At 40.6% G+C, this 19,784-nt stretch overlaps 1 protein-coding gene across 1 annotated transcript; it reads left to right on the top strand.

The window, feature by feature from the left end:
* The first annotated feature begins 18,306 nt into the window (after positions 1-18,306).
* Positions 18,307-19,539, top strand: LOC112268080 (ATP synthase subunit ATP5MJ, mitochondrial-like). The gene has a single exon (XM_024448785.2). The coding sequence runs from the start codon at positions 19,217-19,219 to the stop codon at positions 19,391-19,393; it is 177 nt and encodes a 58-aa protein (XP_024304553.1). The 5' UTR covers positions 18,307-19,216; the 3' UTR covers positions 19,394-19,539.
* Positions 19,540-19,784: the final 245 nt, after the last annotated feature.

Here is a 19,784-nt window from a genome sequence, read left to right as displayed (position 1 = left end):
TGAGGAGGAACAGACACAGCTGAATCCAGGTGTAGCTTCATCTAGGATGTCAATCAATACTACTTTTTTTATTTTAACTTTTTTTAAGTTTTTAAAATTTTTGTGGGTACATAGTTGGTATATGTATTTATAGGGTACATGAGATGTTTTGATACAGGCATGCAATGTGAAGTAAGCACATTACGGAAATTGGGGTATCCATTGCCTCAACCATTTATCCTTTGAGTTACAAATAATCCAATTACACTCTTTAAGTTATTTTAAAATGTACAACTAAGTTATTGACTATAGTCATCCATTTGTGCTATCAAATAGTAGGTCATATTCATTCATTTTTTTGTGTGTGTGTGTTCATTAACTATCCCACCTCCCTGCCAGCCTGCCACTATCCTCCCCAGCATCTGGTAACTGTCCTTCTACTTTCCATGTCCATGAGTTCAATTGTTTTGATTTTTAGATCCCACAAGTAAGTGAGAACCTGAGATGTTTGTCTTTCTGTGTCTGGCTTATTTCACTAAACGCAATGATCTCCAGTTCAATTTCTATTATTTCAAATGACTGAATGTCATCTTTTTTTTTTTATGGCTGAATAGCACTACATACACAATACCTCTTGTGCGCTTGCTCTCCCCTCTCTTATCTTTGCTTTCTTCTACGTTAGTTTCATTCTCAGTGAGATCATATCCATGTGATGGCAGCAATATCCCTGACTAGTACAGATTTATATTCAAACAGTGTGAGAATCCCAGAAGAAAGATAGCAGCCCCTCATTGGAGAATGAAGTATCTATGTCATAAGAACACATTCCTCTGACCTATAACACCTAGAACACTGAGATAATTTAAAAATATATAGAGAGAGTCTGGCAGAGATCATCTTGCCAGAGGAATACTGAAAAATTTTACAGGATACAAAATTATACTATTTCCAATCTCTTCCAAACAGCCATATATTCTCCCTAATATATACCCCTTCACCAAAAGAATGAAAGTAAAAAAGCAAAAAGAAGAAAAACAACATTATAAAAATTATATTATCCAGGGCCTTTTATTTTCTTTAATCACTCAAGATTCTATGACTAAAAATTAAGTTTTCAGAAGAAAGTTCTTCTGGTTTTCCCTTATCAGTGGAAGTGGTTCCAATCAGGAAATGTTGAAACTAACAGTGCTATTCAGGAGCAATCAGTTATTTATAAACCACAAAAGGAAAAGACAACAACCCAGCTATTCAAAGTCGTCTACCTTTAGAAGATTACACAGAGTCTGATAGAAAGAAGCAGATTCAGAAGTTTTCTGCTAGTTGAGTTAGTAACCTACCTAATATAACAAGTATCAATCATTGGCATATTCATTTTATCCTTCAAAATGAATTATAGAGTACTTACTAATACTTAAGCATAAAGACATGCACTGCAAGTGATTAGCTATGGTTTTGGTATAATCATCCCTTCTGAACCAACATACTATTCATGTTTCACTCAATAAATATTAAGCTCCCATTCTACACCAAGCCCTGACTAAATGCTGGGGATACCATGTTGATTGGAGAGAGAAAGTCCCTGCCTTCATGGACATTGCATTCTGATGAGCGAAACCTGGTGAATGCCTTAGCCAGAATGTCTAGCATTCTGCCTGTGCTGGTACTTGTCTGGAATTTTTCATTTCTCCTATCCTGCTGTTAGATGTTACACTTCTTTGTTTCACTCAAAGTGCTGCTCTAGCTTAGTCCTCAGCATTCCACTGCAGATGAATTGCTTCCCTGTGATTAGGCTGGTTTGCAGAGTTCTCAGACTTAAGATGGCTGAAATTTCACACCTTTGCATGGTAACCACACGCATTCCATCACATGCACTTCTATTCCTTTATTTCTGTTCCTATTCACTATGAGAGAAACCCACATAATGGCAGGTATAGTGTCCCTCAAGTATGAGTGTACTCTGAAAGAAAATGCTCTCTGCTCATGAACACCTTCTGCAAAGATCATTTTTTTCCAAAGGGGCTTTTATAAGCTTCCCTGAATTAAATGGAAGAAAAAAACATCTCTCTTTGGAGCAATAGCCTGAAGATATCCTCCTTTGTCAGAAATTGTTTTCACTATGATCCCACTATCAAGTATATCCCATTCACCATCCCTGCATAAATCCCTGTTCTGTAGGTTAAAAGTTCTCCTTTTATACTCCCAGGTATATACCCAACACGAATTACGCGCTTGTTCACCAAAAGACATGGAGGATAACATTCATGGTAGCGCCATTCGTAATAGCTTCAAATTGGAAACAACCTAAATGTCCATCAACAGGAGAATGGATCAATATATTGTGGTATATTCCTACAACAGGATGCTGTACATTATGAAAGCTGACAAAACACAGCTACACGGAACCACTTGGATGAATCTCACAAGCTAACAATGAGCACAAGAATCCAGATAAGCAAGAATGCATAATGGGTTCCATTTACATAAAGTTCAAAACTAGACAAAGTTAATGCAGAGTTTTGAAGTGGTTCACTTTAGGATGGGAGAGAGGGAGAGTGTTTGGCAGAGGGCATGAGGGGGTCTTTTGAGGGGCTGGTAGCATTCTATATCTTGACTTGGTTTCACAGCTATGTTCATTTTGTGATATATATTGAACTATACACTTAGGATTTATGCACCATTTTCATGAAAAAGAGTTTTTCTTAATAAAAGTTATCCATTTGCTGCATTTACCAAGGTTTTATTTAGGTCCCACTTTCACAAGGGAGTTGCTCCTCACCATTCCTGGGGGTCATGTGGAACCAGGAAGGTTTTTCTCCCTGGGTAGCTGGAGATTGTGTTAATGTATATGTGGGGAGGGACAAAATCACACTCCAAATGGGAAAAGCCAAAGTTTGAAGAAGAAAGACAGTTCCAAGCAAAGTGAGGCCATAATCAGATGATGAAAAATTGGCCAGAGACTGGTGGGATCAAGCCCCAGAAAGCTGGTATCTGGGGACCAGAGGTTATGGGGCACAGTGGTTATATGCAGAGATGCTGGAGCCAGAATCCCTGGGTTGATTTCTCAAATCCATTAACTTCTGTTTTACTTTGGGCAGCTTCCTGAACCTCTCTGTGCCTCAGGCCCTCTTCTGTGAAATGCACCTGAGAAGTCAAAATGTAATACTTGTCAAGCACTCCCAGCTGTGCTTGTCCCATGCTGGGGGCTCAACATGTGTCAACGACTACATCTGCATCATTTTCTGCTCTCACAATCTATATACCAGAGCATGGCTGTCCACTGCTCACATGTTTTATAGGAAAGCAGGGGAAACCATTCTCTTCCTTCCTAGTCCTAGTTCCAAAGTTCCCAGGCCAGATACCTTTCCTGTCCATAAAAGCTATGACTAGAGAACAGGATCACATTCTATAAAATGACCACTCCCACCAAACCATGTGAATTGGGAGTCAGACGTTCAACAAAAGGGGCAGGTCAGTTTCCAGACAAACAAGCGAGGAGTGATTTGAATGATATCAAGAGGAGTACAGTACAAATAGCATATTGGTGGGTCCGCCTTTCTTCAAAATGAATGAAACTGTGCCTTTATACACACAATGTAGAAGTGTACGTTAAGCCTGAGTATTTGCCCCAGATTTAACTCTCTGCTTCGATAAGTCATGACTGGTATTTCTTTGGCTAGAAATAAAACAAAGCAGGTCCCACTTTCTGAGATAAACATTTAATTTAATTTTGTATCTCACTGGGTTTTTAATCCCATCACTTATCTCAATGCTCTGTTTCTCACTATTTTATCTCAGGGTTTCTGAATGTTCTCCTTGAACAAACAATGTAAACACAATAAACACCGTAACAGACAAGAACCTTGACATAGAAGTGGAGACACACTAGCGGTAAGGCATCCAAGGACACCAAGATAAAGCAGAGAAAAACATGAAGTAGCCAGTAGGTGGGGCTCGGAGGGAAGAATTGACAGTGGTGGTTGTGGGAGAGCACTGCAAGCTCAAACACTGTGCTAAATTTCAGGCGTTAGTAGAAATGTCAAATAGGTGTGTGTGTAGGCAATTATAAACATGAGAAATGCATAGAATGGTGCCTTACACAGAATAGGTGCTAAATAAATATTATCCAAATGAGTGAATGAATGAAAAGAGGAGAGACAACGGATTTGCTTTCATTCACATATAGGAGCTTTGAGAAGTCAAGGAATTTTAGAATTAAAAGGGACCAGTAAAGTCTATTCCCCTTACAAGTGGTTTGGGCTTGAGTACCTCAGTCTCAGGTTTGAATTAGGAATCAGTAAGAAAGAGAGAAAGAGAAAGCAACAGTGACACATGGATTTTTTAGGGAGTTAAAAGCATTCTAGAATAATGGATGGCTGAAGGACCGTTTGGGGGGAGGGGGGGAAAGCTGTCATGGGATAATTGGAACAGACCCCAAGGAGGTCATTTATCATGTCGTCTCTCTGCTGGCTGCAGAATATAGAAATCACTAGCTGATGACAACAATACTCTACGTTTGTGTAGTACTTCTAGTTCTGAAAGTGCAGTCAGACATTATCTCCATTAATTCTCACAAGCACATAGGTATTCTTTTCTGGGACTCAAAGGAAGTTACTAGCTCAGAAATAATGGATGCTCGTTGATGTATGAAGTTCCATTACCTCTAACAGGGAGATGGAATGTCCTTTAAAAGATTCCTCCACAAAATAACATATTCATTTATGTAGTAACAGGGAGAGTTGTTGAGAATTAAATGATATATTGTCTTTTCAAAGCTGTGAATTTATCAGTATTAACTTGGAAAGTGTCTTTACCTCCTCCTTCCAAGATAATAGCAAGGAGAGCCACCAAGGTGCTTTGGACAGTTTTCCAAGGGGAAGGAGGATGATGCTTGGTGGGAAAGTGGGGAGTGGCCCCATCCTGGAGGTGACTTCCCAGGGACTGGGAAGGCTGGGATGTTCAGTGTGTTCTGGGTCTCACTTTGCACCTGTGCACCGCTTGCAAGCATCACAAGAGGACACAACTTAGATGAGGGTGGTGGTGCTCGTAGGGGTAGAGCGATTGCTGTGAGAGGTATAACTATAACCCGCCTGGCGCAAGAAGCCTGACTGGTAGCAATAGACTAGATCTCAGCCTGTGCTTCCCAAGAGGCAGATGTAAGGGACAGAGACCTTTCACTTCCATTTTCCTCAACTGCTTACCTACTGGGATTTTAGTATGATCCATAGGAGATGGAAGCAAATTTAAAAAGCGAATATTGGAATTGTCACTAATCTTGGCAAATTAAGATTTGATTTGATATAGAAAAATAAAGACATACAATGTTTCTTATACTTGAGATGTCATGGAATGATTGTACATCTGTTAATCTTCATTCAACAAGCATTTATTGAGCACTTACTATGAGCCAGACTTTCTAGTAGGTGTTGGGGATATAGGGGAGAATAATAAAGAAATGGATCTTGTTTTTGAGTAGCTTGTTACATCTATAATGGACAGATAGACAATTAAACAAGGAATAACCAGACAGAGTGCTGAGTGTTAGAACAGGAGAAAGACAGGGATCTGAGACACCAGAAAAAAAGAGGTTACATAACCTAGTCTAGGAGACAAAGACAGCATCCCTGCAGAAGTCACAGTTAAGCTGAGACCTGAAGGATTCTGTCCTGCATCGCACAACACTTCCTTCCCACCACTGCTATGCTAAGCACTTACCCCAGTTACATAGTATTTGCTATTTTCAAATCTCTCTCTCACTAAGCATTGAGCTCCCAGAGGTCTTACAGCATCATGTAAATTATTAAAAAAAAAAAAATCTTTGTATCCTCAGCACCTCTGGTAGAGCTCCTACACTTAGTAGGCTTTCAATGCATAGCTGCTAAGTGACACAAAAATTGAAAGAATGAATAAATGATGAATGATGGGAGACCTAATTGCATTATATAGTAGAAATGCCAGTGTTCATCTGTAAAGGGTGCAGGCTGGATGCTGCATTCTAGTTAAGCAGTGTCACTACTGTGTCCTCCAGGCAGCCAGTTGCTGAGCATCCGCTAATTAAGGCTACACTGCCACTCTGAGGGCAGTCTGGGTAGTGCCAGGATTGGACAGGACACTGATGTCCGCTTTGGTTCTCAGCTTCAGGCTGGTGAAAGCACTAGCAATGCAGCCTCCTCTTTGAAGGAAAGGTCTCTCAACGCTGTCACAGTCCTTGCTCAGGCAGCCCTCAGTCCCTACTGCAAAGTAAGGGCATGAAGTCTTCTCTTAAAAGTGCAGGCTGGCTAAGGAAACCGAACCTCACTTTCATGGCACAATTTTGGGGACACAGAGGAATTGAGTCACATTCTTTTCCTTGTGTGTGGGTTGGAGAGGAGGAATCCAGTTCCTACCCCACCCCTCCCATTGCCCTGGAAGAGCCACCTGGGGTAAGCATGACCCCCTGGGGTAAGCATGAAGCCTGCACACTCACCTCAGCACAGGAGGGAAATGCTTTAGCTGAAATATTCCCCTCTTTAGTGACCCTACTTCTCTCCAGGGAGCTTTAAATGCTGGTGAATTCTGATCAGCATCCTGGAAGGGAATAATGAACTAGCACCCAGGGCACCTTCCTCACTTGTCTCCTAGCCAGTCCCCCAAACTTCTGTCTGGCTGTTACTGTGTGGCTCAATGAACTGGGGGCAAGAAAATCTAGATTATAACCCTGGGTTTGCTGATTCCTATGCGTTACACCTTTGGTTAGTTGATTAATCTCTTTGAACCTCAGTTAGCTGATCTACAAAATAAATATTAATATACCTGACCTATCTTACAGGGCTGTTGAAGAATCAAATGGTACAATATGCGGAATGCCCTTTGTGAACCTGCAAGCACTACACACGTGTAAAGTATTATTATGTCCAATATGTCTGGAAATGTATAAAATAATGATTCCATAGAAATGTACTTTTATGTTGTGAAATCCTCACTGTCTCTCGTTGTTAATCCAGGGAAACCACTGACTAGTATTCCTTTCACTTGATTGTCTCATTTCTTTCACTGATTAATTCATTCAAAAAGCAGTTATGAGCAAAATTCAACATCAAAAATATTGATTGAGTGCCTACAATATGCCAGGAACTGTTCTCAGTGCTGGAGATACCACGGATATTAAGGCAGATATATCCCTGCTTTCCTGCACTGGGGCTAGAGCAGGGAGTAAAATGGCAGTCCCTGCACTTAGGAGTTTACAGTCTAATGAGGAAGGTAGGAATTTTAAAACTAATCATATGAATAACTATGTGTGTGTGATATGGTTTGGCTCTGTCCCCACCCAAATCTCATGTCCAGTTGTAATTCCCAATATTGGGTGAGGGACCTGGTGGGAGGTGATTGAATCATGGGGGCAGATGTTCCCTTGCTGTTCTCATGATAGTGAGTGAATTCTCAAGATATCTGGTTGTTTGAAAGTGTGTAGCACTTCCCCCTTCACTCTTTTTCTCTTCTGCCACCATGTGAAGAAGGTGCTTTCTGCCATAATTGTAAGTATCCTGAGGCCTCCCCAGCCATGCCTCCTGTACAGCCTGTGGAACTGTGAGTCAATTAAATATCTTTTCTTCATAAATTCCCCAGTCTCAGATAGTTCTTTATAGCAGTGCGAGAGTGGACTAATACAGTGTGTATGTGGCAACATTAAACTCTCGTTAAGAACACAGGAAAAAAGAAAATGTTTAATATTGTTGTTATACTCTTGTCCTCATGAACCCTCAACTGCTAGTGGGAAAATTAACTAATGTCCAATGTCATTAAACTCCATTCAATCCAATATTTTATACAATTCTCAATCAGGCAATGCTCAGAATCCCCAGCAAAATGTTCAGCTTTTCAGGTTGCCCTCCCCTCCTTCTGTTTTGGTTCCGAAACTAGCATCTCGGTTTATGGGGGGATAGTAGGGGGTTGCAGGGAGGAGGTGTCATTTCCAGGACATGAGGCACAGGGGAAGAGTTGGGGTCCTCTAATGTGTCCTCTCTGTCTTCTGGTCTCCAGAGAAGTGCCTCTTGTCCTCCTATGTGCTGGTAAAGTCTGTGCTAGTGTCACTCAGACCCTGTCTTGGCTCTGTCAGATCCTGGGATTGACCCTTGGCTGGCTTGGTCCCCTGCCTGCATCTGCCAGCTGCAAAACCTAGGTCTCTACCACATTTGCTCTCCAGTCTGTTGGCTTGACAATCTACTCCTAACCTCTACTGTGAGAGTCACCTCACTCTGCAATGGCTGAGCCAGTAGCAGAGCTACTGACTTTCTACTCCACACCTATTCAACTTGTGAACTGAAGGGACTCAGAAAAGCTAAACCTCAGGGCCTCTCTCTGCTGGACCACACCACACCATTAGATCTGTGAGAGCTGCCCCAGAGACCAAAATGAGCAAGGGCTGTAAATCTTTTACCAACCTAGTGAGTTGTTCCCAGTACAGTCCAGATGAGAAATATGGGGACCCCCACACCCTGTTTTCCTCTTGCTCTCTGCCTTTGCCTCTGTCTGCCAGTGCTCAGGCCTGGGAAATGATATCTGCATGATACCTGTCTCATCATACCTTTGGCGAGTCTCGTGGCTTCACTAAATACCCTCCAGGAAGACTTGGATCTAAGTTCCTTTGCCCAGTGAATTCTTTATCCCTGCTCACTGCCCGGCTTCTTGCAGCTACTGAGATTTATCCACACTGCTGTCCATACACCAGGACCCCATCCCTCTACCTGCAAGTCTCAAAGCACCATAACACATTGCTGTTATGTGTAACAAACTCTTACTGAAGGTTAGGGGATGATGATGAGGGGCTGCATCAATAAATAAATAAATAAATAAATAAATAAAAAAGATGGGAAACAACTAAATCAAATAACAGAAGGCACTGGCCAAAGGCCCTCAGCTGTCTCTACCACAGTGACGGTCTTGCTGGTGACATTCCCAACTTTCTCACAAAGCCATCATTTCCTGGGACTTGTTTTATTTCCTTCTAGCCAAACACTTCTGTCAACTTTCTCAGTTCAGAGACACTCATTTACTGTCCCTACCGCCCCCCTGCAGGTAGCTAACCTGTAATTCTATTATGAAGGGAAATTTAGCTCCTTTTTATCAGATGCTAAGGTAGAATTAGCATACAGCAATGGTTAAGCTCATGGATTTTAAAACCAGCCTACCTTGGTTCAAATCTAGCCTTCATTGCTTACTAGCTGTGTGGTTTTAAGAAGTTGCTCATCCTCTCCGTACCAGTTTCCCCATCTGTAAACTTGGAATGGTTGTAGCCCCTACTGGCTGGGGCCCTTGTGAGGATTATATGATAAATACAAATAAATAAGATGCTTACATCTGTCCTATACAAAGTAAACACTCAATGAAATGTAGGTATTATTCTCTCTACTTCCTCCTTCCTACACTACCCTAGACCAGTGATTCTCAAACTTTAGCACATATCAGAATTATCTAAAAGTCTTATTAAATGTCAGGTTGCTGGGACCCAGAGTTTCTGATTCAATAGGTCTGGGATGGAGACAGAAAATTTGCATTTCTAACGAGTTCCCAAGTACTGTGATGAAGCTGGTTCAATGATCACACTTTGAGAACCACTGGCCTAGACCATGTTTTCCATTCTCAAAAAGTTCCATTAAGTTGTTTTTCTTGGCTTCCCACCCTTAGAAACAGGTAGAAGCTTCAAATTATACTTTTTTTTTTTTTGGTAGAGATGAGATCTCACCATATTGCCCAGGCTGGTCTTGAACTCCTAGCCTCAAGCAATCCTTCAGCCTTGGCCTCCCGAAGGGCTGAGATTACAGGCGTCAGCCACTGTGCCACGCCCTCAAATTATACTTGTTACAGAGCTTTTCTGGATCAAATTACATAGGCAAAAAAGAATTTATTATGCTGACTATTTGGTAACAAAGAAAAGGAAATAAAGAATATAAACATGTATATCCATGTTTTGTTGTTGCAAAAAAAAAAAAAAAAACCCAAAACAAACGAACAAACAAAAAACTTAGGAAAGATAAACCAGAAACTGATAGAATTGTTTACATAGGATAGGGTAGAAAGAACAGGAAAAAGAGTGACAAACTTCTCTGATTATGCCATTTTTTTTCTATAAATATATATATAGTTTTGACTGTTGGAAGCATGCTAGTGTTTTCATATTTAAAACATTAAATCAAGTCTGAGGAAAGAAGCCTAGAATTGAATTAAAAATACAAAATTAAGAGTATATCAAATAGATGACAGAACTGCATGAAAGGGAAAAAAATTGAATGAATCTAAGTCACTTTGGTTTTTGTTTCTTTTTTTTTTTTTTTGAGACGGAGCCTCGCTCTGTCACCCAGGCTGGAGTGCAGTGGCGCCATCTGGGCTCACTGCGAGCTCCGCCTCCCGAGTTCACACCATTCTCCTGCCTCAGCCTCCGGAGTAGCTGGGACTACAGGCGCCCGCCACCACGCCCAGCTAATTTTTTGTATTTTTAGTAGAGACAGGGTTTCACCGTGTTAGCCAGGATGGTCTTGATCTCCGCCCGCCTCGGCCTCCCAAAGTGCTGGCATTACAGATGTGAGCCAATGCGCCTGGCCGAATCCAAGTCACTTTGAACACAATACTTAGATATACACCCTCAGTCTAAAAACAAAAAGAAGTTCAAACAAATATTGTTTTGTTAGTGATATGGGTGTAGCAATTTTGAAATTATTTGGTGAGCATTTTAGGACTGAGTAAATTAGTAAATATACTAATGTTTCTGGTAGCCAGGTTTCCCACTATGAGAGAGAGGTGATATAATTTATGGAATGCGGAAAATTTAGAGGTGTCAGCATAAAATCATGTTTTTTCTAAGAAATAAAAAATAATAAAAATGTATATATCTTTCCTAGCTCTTTCTGCTGAAAGGGCCTAGAAGTAATGCTACTCTAGTTACAATGAGCACTCCTAGCACCTAGATCTTGGTGTCTAAAGATAATTCCCCTTTAAAAATAGCTGATTCTAAAATACAACATAAATACAAGATAAGACTAGAATATTTTGTTGTAGTAGAAAATAAAGAAATTATTTGAAAAATAAAAAGGCCCAAGGATGTTACAAAGAGGAAGAATCTCAAAGAGACCTCTAGCCAAATCAATGATCAAAAACAAAACAAATAAAAGAACAAAGACGGCTGGGCGCAGGGGCTCACGCCTGTAATCCCAACACTTTGAGAGGCCGAGGCAGGCAGATCACCTGAGATCAGGAGTTTGAGACCAGCCTGGCCAACACAGTGAAACCTGGTCTGTACTAAAAACACAAAAATTAGCTGGGCATGGTGGCGGGTGCCTCTAGTCCCAGCAACTCAGGAGTCTGAAGCAGGAGAATGGCGTGAACCCAGGAGGCGGAGCTGGTAGTGAGCCGAGATCGTGCCACTACACTCCAGCCTGGGCAACAGAGCGAGACTCCGTCTCAAAAAAAAAAAAAAAAAAAAAAAAAAAAAGATCCCAAAGAATCCTGACACTACTGGATTATAACACTGTGGAAAAAAACCTAAGAATCCACCAGTGCCCTTAATGATACTAAACAAAGAGAAAAACAAATAATAAGAATAACAGGAGAGCTTTTCTTTATAATAGAACATCAACTAGTAAATGTGGAAGGAATAACACAGAAAATCACGATTTTGCACCCATCATAGTAATATTTTGTTTAGATAAGAATCATCCAGGAATATTAAAACCATTGCGTGAAAGTTTGTTGGGAATGAGTATATTTACACAGCATGAAAATTTCTCCTCACAGATTATTCATTAACTACAAGAGGAAAAAAGTATTTCTACATAACAGATAACACTGTAGCTAAGTGACCACCAACAATGGGACAAACTGATATCTTATGATTCCTGATAAGAAAGGCTAAGAATACAACATCACTTATGTAACATTCCTGCCAAAAATGTATAACCTGAACTTAATTATGAGGAAACCACCAGTCAATCTCAAATTGAAGGATAAGCCACAAGGCAACTGGTCTGAATGTTTCAAAAATATCAATGTCAGAAGAGAAAAAGAAAGGCCAGGCATGGTGGCTCAAGCCTGTAATCCCAGCACTTTGGGAGGCCAAGGTGGACAGATTACAAGGTCAGGAGTTCGAGACCAGCCTAGCCAACATGGAGAAACCCCGTCTCTACTAAAAATAGAAAATTAGCAGGGCATGGTGGCGCATGCCTGTAATCCCAGCTACTTGGGAGGCTGAGGCAGGAGAATCTTTTGAACCTGGGAGGCTGAGGTTGTGGTGAGCCGAGATCATGCCATTGTACTCCAGCCTGGGCAACAAGAATGAAACTCCTCTCAAAAAAAAAGAAATAAAGAAAGAAAGAAAGGCTGTGGAGCCATTCTAGATTAAAAGTCATTAAAAAATGATTACAACTAAATGAAAAGCATGGTTCGTTACTGAATGTCTGATGAGAAAAAAAAATAAACACATTGCTATTAGGGATATTGCTAGGACAACTGATAGAATTTGGACAGAGATTGCATATTCCATAGTAGTATTATTGTATCATCATTAAATTTTTTGAACAGTCATTGCTCCATGTAAAACAATGTCCCTGTTCTTAAAATACAAATACTAAAGTATTAGGAGTGAATGTGCTTCAGTTGTATTTTTGAATCAGCTATTTTTAAAGGGGAATTATATGTAGGCATCAAGATCTAGGTGCTAGGTGTCTTCATTGTAGCTCAGGTTGCATTACTTCTAGGCCCTTTCACTAGGCCCTAAATACTTTAGTATTTATCTTTTAAGAGCAACAACAATAACATAGTTATAGGTGGAAAGATATAAAGCCAGCGTGGTAAAGTATTAACAATTGGCAAATCTCGGTGAAGGATATATGACAGTTTATTGTCCTAATTTAGCAACATTTCTATAAATGTGAAACTTTTACAAAATAAAAAGATAAAACAAATTTGAAAATCTTTAGGTGAATCTCTCTCCCCAACTAAATGGCATAAAAAAATTATCCTCCCTTTAAGCCCAGGGATTTTCCACTAATTTTGTCACTATTACATTTTCCTGTTGATAAGTTTTAGTTACTTCTTACAGGCAGCTGATGGAGAAGCAGGTTTGGGTGAAGGTGATGGGTGCAATTTGACACAGTGTCTTTGAGATCCAATGTGTCTCGAGAGATCCAATGTGATAGGAGCTCAGGGAAGAGGTCCCAGCCAAAGACATGGAATCAGGTGATATTAGTCCCTTGAGAGTTCTCCTGGAGGGAGCTTGGAGAATAAGAGTGGCAACTGTAAAGGAGACTAAGAGTGAATGGTGGGAGAACCAAGGGGAGCCATGGTTCAGCAGCTGTGGAAGGATACATTTCATATGGAGACCATGGTCCATAGCCTGAAATGTCCCAAGGAGTAAAGCAGACAACTGTAAAGTCCCCTGGATTTGGCAAGTAGGTGGTCCTTGGTAACCTGAATGACTTCCATAGGGGAGGGAGTTGAGGAGTGGGATTGGGTGAAACCACACCAGGGTGCATTAAAGAGTAATCGTGTGGCCAAGTGTGGTAGCTCATGCCTGTAATCCCACCACTTTGGGAGGCCGAGGTAGGCAGATCACTTGAGGTTAGCAGTTTGAGACAAGCCTCGCCAACATGGTAAAACCCCGTCTCTACTAAAAATACAAAAATTAGCCAGGCGTCGTGGCAGGCACGTGTAGTCCCAGCTACAGCTCAGGAGGCTGAGGCAGGAGAATCTCTTGAACCCAGGAGGTGGAAGTTGCACTGAGCTGAGATCGTGCCACTGCAGTCCAACCTGGGCAACACAGCAAGACTCTGTCTTTAAAAAAAAAAAAAAAAGTAATTGTGTAGGCCGGGCACAGTGGTTGAGGCCTGTAATCCCAGCACTTTGGGAGGCTGAGGCAGGCGGATATCTTTGAGCTCAGGAGTTCAAGACCAGCATGGGCAACATGGCAAAACCCCATCTCTACTAAAAATACAAAAAAATTAGCCATGTCTGGTGGTGGTGTGTGTCTGCAGTCCCAGCTACTTGAGAGGCTGAGGTGGGAAAATCTCTTGAGCCTGGGAGGCGGAGGTTGCAGTGAGCTGTGGTTGTGCCACTGCATTCCAGCCTGGGCAACAGAGCTAGACACTGTCTCAAAAACAAAAACAAAAACAAAAAGTAATTGTGGAGGTGAAATGTGATAAGAGTATTTGGATAAGCCTATTTGGAAGGGCAGGAGAGAAATATAGATGAAGGCAGATTTTTGGATTTGGTCTTTAGAGCTGGAAGGGATTTGCCCATGGAGAGGGGGAGGTTAGAGAATTGGAAAGGGGGATAGTTACATTAGCAAGAGCCCAGAGGAACCAGAGGGCAGGAGATCAGGGGTAGAGTGGTGGAACTAACCTGAGTAGGGAAAGAATGTATCTTCCCACCCAGTGGCCTATGAACCCTAGGGCCTTGTCTTCTGTCTTGATCTGTCTCAAAAGAAACCAAACTGTTAGCCTCTTTCCTAATATTTCTGATGAGCCAACCACAGGATCCTGGTAGGCAGGGTATTGACTTAGGTAGAGTTCTGAATTTGGAGTGGGAAGACAGCTTTAATTTCTTGTTTTTTGCTTGACTTCCTGACTGTGTTATCCTTTCTGAGCAGCAATGTCCTCATCTTTAAAATGAAAAAAATGTACTCCATGTAATAAAGTAGGACAATATATGAAAACACTTTAGAAAGGGACTTGCGATTAGGTAGCTTTTTTGAGGTGTTTGTTTGTTTGTTTGTTTGTCCCTCTGCTCTTAGGATCTGGCAATATTCCAGTGACCAGGAGATCTGGAAGTTGCCAAGAATGTTCTCTGCAACTGCTGGCTTCTAATGAGGCAGCTCACACAGGATTTGCTGTCTTGGATTTAAAAATAAGTGCATCCACAGAGAGATGGACTGTCACCAGAGGTTTGGTAATATAATTAACTGTAGAATGCAAGCCAATGGAAGCCAGCTGGCAATCACTGAAACTTGGGGGTTCGGTAGCTCAGAATGAGTTTGTTATTGAGAATTGTTTATAATAATCAAATTTCCACTAGGTGACAGCAAAGCCCATAATATGATCTAAATCATTGTTCTTCTTGAATAAATAGTGTTTGAGAATCTTCCAAAAGCAGCAGATCCTGCCATTCTGGAGAGAGTAATTATTGCTAAAATTATGACATATGGCCTCGAGATATTGTCATTACTCTTCTGAGATAAATAACTCCAGTTTTAAAAAAACCAATTTTAGTGTTTGACATTCTAAGTCACTTGAATTTATAGAAACAACTATAACAATAATTTAAAAAGCTAATATGTGTTAACCATTTGCTGTGTGCCAGGCACTCTTATAAATGCGCATGGCTCTTGATACTACCCAACCTCTCAGAGGTTTCACAGGGACCACAAGTCCCCTCTTTTAATAAAGAACTAAGTCTTCCCTGGGCCACTTCTGTAACCATAACACTAATTACATAAATACATGCTTGTGGCTGAACTACCCTGCCCAGGAGAGGAGGAGTTTGGTTATGCATATTAATGATTTAGTCAAGAGCCCTTTACAGGGTTTTATGAACAATTTTCAGTTATAATTGGTATTTCTCAGAGCATTTATCTTTTTTAAAAATAACTTTCCCCCTCTTAGACCTATGCTAACCCTTCATTGGGTTCCATGTTGGTGGCTCATTCATCTTGGGACTGTGTTGAGTTTGCGGTAACCTATTGGAGTCTTTTTTTTTAGGGTCTAAGGCGGAGACCCCAGGCAGAGTGAGCTTGACTCATCATGGTACAAAGCCTTTAACCATCAGAAGGAAGTGGGAATTATGGGGGCATTGCTGGTATTTGACTCTGTCCCCTGGCCCCTGGCTCCTGAATGCTTGCCTTGGTTCTAAGCAGAGAAAGGACTGAGAAGTAAAATGGCAGGGCTGTTTCTGGAACACACTAATTCACAGGCAGCCCTGCTTAGTTTGTTTTCTTCAATCAGAATATAACATAAAAACCAGGGAGCTACATAGCTGGCTCCTCTACGGCTACCCATACTGCTTTTCTTTTCTTTTTAATTATTACTATCTCTGAAAGTATGCTATAAATGCATGAGATGAAATTTCCAAAGGTGCAACAGAGCACACAGTTAAAAAGTAAGTTTTACTTCCCACACCTGTTCCCCATAGGAAACCACTGGTTCTCATAGTTACCAGTTTCCAGTAATGTTCAGCCTCAGCAGCCTGGGGATTCCATGCTTGCAGGACAGTGGTAGGGATGCTGGCTGCTGATGGGGGGAGCAGTTAGGAGTAGCTCAGATTGCGGAGTGAGTTAAGCACATGTGACACCTCCTGATGAGGCTCAGGGACTAGGGGCACATGGCGTGTGGGAAAATAAGCCAGGAAACCTTAGGAATTCATAACAAGATGGCCTTATTTGCACCCACAGGCTGGTGTTGCCTGGGGAAGTTGTGTACTATTATTATTGAAATATGTTCTCAGATGAAAGTTAAAAAATAAAGATAAGTATATCTCATTATTTAAGTATATATATATACGTATATATATGTATATACATATTTATATAGGTATATATAAGTATATATATACGTACTTATATACGTATATATGTATACATGTATACGTATATATATGTACTTATATACGTATATATATTTCTTATATACATATATGCACATATATAAGTATATATACGTGGGTATATATACACGATACGTATATATACACATATATATGTATATGTGTATATATATAACTATATATACGTATATATATAATTATATATACGTATATATATAATTATATATACGTGTATATACACGTATATATATGTATATATAAACAGTTTTTCCTGCAATATGGAGCCCAAGCCCCAGTCTCCAAGTCTCGTAGCAACCCAAGAACCAGAAAACAATGCCTCCAGAAGATAGAAATTGACACTCCTAAGGTCACCAGCAATCTTATCCAACAATGTCAGCTGAGCCACGAGAGGCAGCAACCATTGCAGAGTGGCAGCCAGCCTAGGCAAGCCATGACCCAGCCCCTGACACTGGCCCCAGGTGCATTCACAAGGGTGAGCATGTGTGCTGGTTGACCCAGGACCACCTCAGTTTATACCTGGGATAATTGTTAAAAGGGTCCTTTTCCAATCTCAAGAACTGTCCCAAGTTTGTCAATAAAGTACATGATCTCTCTAAATACAGTTCCCCTGTGCATCATCTTCCCCCGTGCCACTCCTCCAGGGTGCTGGACCAATTATGGAGTTAGGGTGGGTCAGGTGTCTACCATCTTTCAGACCCAAAGCTGCAACCATTTTCTTTCCCTAGGACCTCTTCTGGGTCTAACAGTCTCCTGTTTCTGGGGCACAAAAGGGCCAATTCTACCTCCAGTTCAGGCAACAGAACTCCCCAGCCACCCTTCGGAGGATTGGATACCCTAAATGCTTATGCCTCTTTTCCCCAATGAGCCCGATGCTCAATAGCTCAAATGTAGTTTACCACTGAGATACGTAATAAACATCTCAGGATATTTATTTTGGCCCCTCTCTAATCCCTAGCATGTCATTTTCATGAGGAAAAAAAGGAAAACAAAATCCTCCTACAATAACTGGAAATTTCCAGAGGTTAATAATTTTGGAAGCATATTCTTCTGGATATGTATGTAGTCTTTTATTAGTTCTAGCTGTTTTTCAGCAGACTTTAAAAGTTTTTTCTGGGTAAACAATCATGATTTGCAAGTAATAATTATACTGACACCTAATATTTATTTATTTAACATTTTGAAACTTTTTATTTTAGAGCCTAAAACTTCTAGGATATAATTGAATAACAATGATAGCAAGCATGTCTTCTTGCCGACTTTAATAGAATGCTTCTAGTATTTCACCCTTAAAATGATGTGATTTAAGGTTGGACTTTGTGTGAAGGGAGTATCCTCTTAAGCTTACCAAAATAATTACTTTGGTTGTAACTTATAGAATAAATTGTCAGTATCTTGATCTTTGTTTTGTCCAGATAAATGGCAATGGAACTATACCTTTGCTTTACTCAGATATCCAACTGTTGCAGCTCTTTCTCTTTTTACCTACAATAAAATATTAAATCCATAAATCATTAAGTGCATGGGTTTAAGTCTAGTTGTGGGACCTTGCTAACTATTCTGAATTTCACTTTCTTTATCTGAAAATTAGAATTAAAAATACTGACTTCACAGAGTTGCTGCATTAACTTATTGCCTAGAATGTAGCAAGCACTCAATAAGTGTATTATTATAGCTGTTATAATATATATATTTCACTCTCTGATCCTATTGGAGATATAGATATAAAATATATCACATGTAATAATAAGAGAGTGAAAAATCTCCTTAGAAAAGACTTTTCAGTTAATGACAGTGGTGATTCTAGGATTATCTTAAGTTCACTGTGGTCTTTTCTTTAGAGGTGGTAGAATGCCCAACTGTTCCAGTTTGTTCTGGATAGGGGAGTGTCCCAGGATGAAGGACTTTCGGTGCTAAAACCAGAGAAGTCCTGGGTAAATTGGGACAAGTTGGTCACCTAGATCATGGTGATATTTGACTCCTTTCCTGTTTTCATCTGATCAGGTAGGCTCCTCCAGAAGACAAAAATAGCATTCAAAGAAAATTATTAAAGGCCTGCTGATGAACTGACATCACCATCATCATTTTAGTAATAATAATAATACTGTAATAATAAGCCATATTTAGAAGGAAACTAAATATCTTTCTAAGGAAATTTCTAGCAAACCAAGACAAACACTACTGGGATGATTTTCACAAAAGATTTACTCTTTGGATGGTAAGCAAGCACTAAGAAAGTAGCTATTCCAATGGGGCAGGAGGAAGAAAAGAGAAGCTGGGGTGCTTGACATAGTTCAGATACTACAAATCTGGTGCTCCTGATCTACAGAAGGAAGTGTGGACATAGACCCACACTGGGTGTGAGAGTAACAGGAAGAGGTGCAAGAGAGAGGTGATTCCCCTCTAGAAAGTTTGGGGCAAGCCTGGAGGGGATGCTGGCTTTGTGGGCTGTTGCCAGGATAGTTGCTACCCACCTGTGCTCTGGCCTGAACCTGGCTGAGTCATCACCCAGAATGCTGTGACAAGTGGGAGTAATTATAGCCCAGGAGGACATGGAAGCATCAAGTAATTACAGCCGAGGGGGACACGCCCTGGGCTATGGCGCTGCTGTGCACAGAGCACGAGGCAAGGTACAGGCAGGTGTGGGCAAAAGGTATAGATGCTTCAAAGTATTATTAAAAATGTGTGGATCCCCATGAAGCTCTACTATACTCAAGTTTACCAGGATATTTGGGTAGGAATGGGGCTGATGAGCCTCATCATTTATAAAATCCAGAGTGCTAATAAAAGAAGTAAAGCTTTGAAATCTCCGGTGCCTGCTCACAGTCATCACTAACCAGCTTTACCTGGAGTACACATGAAATGAAACATCAGTCAGCTTGTAAATTTAAGTAAGCTGTGTTAGACTGTACACTTGTTTAAGTATCGCTTACTTCATGGCATGAATAAATGGATCTGTGAAATTCACTGAAAAAAAAAAGAGAGATCAAGATCGGGAGTACGGTGGAAACAGAGGTCATTGCTGGGTAAACTCAAAAGATTTAGTACACAGGACAGAGACATGGCTGAGGCACTGGGATTTTATTCTTACTAGATGCTGGACAGTTATTGTGGCTTCAATGAGATAATGCACATAGATACAGAGTTCTTACATGGCACATAGTTAAAGCTTACTATCACTTATTTTTAGTTTTTGCACCTTTGAAAGCTAATCAACTAATTTCCTC

This window comes from Homo sapiens, chromosome 11 (genome assembly GCF_000001405.40).
Source record: "Homo sapiens chromosome 11, GRCh38.p14 Primary Assembly".
Lineage (NCBI taxonomy): Eukaryota > Metazoa > Chordata > Mammalia > Primates > Hominidae > Homo > Homo sapiens.
The sequence above is the reverse complement of the archived record's forward strand: the minus strand, read 5'-3'. Positions and strand labels throughout refer to the sequence as shown.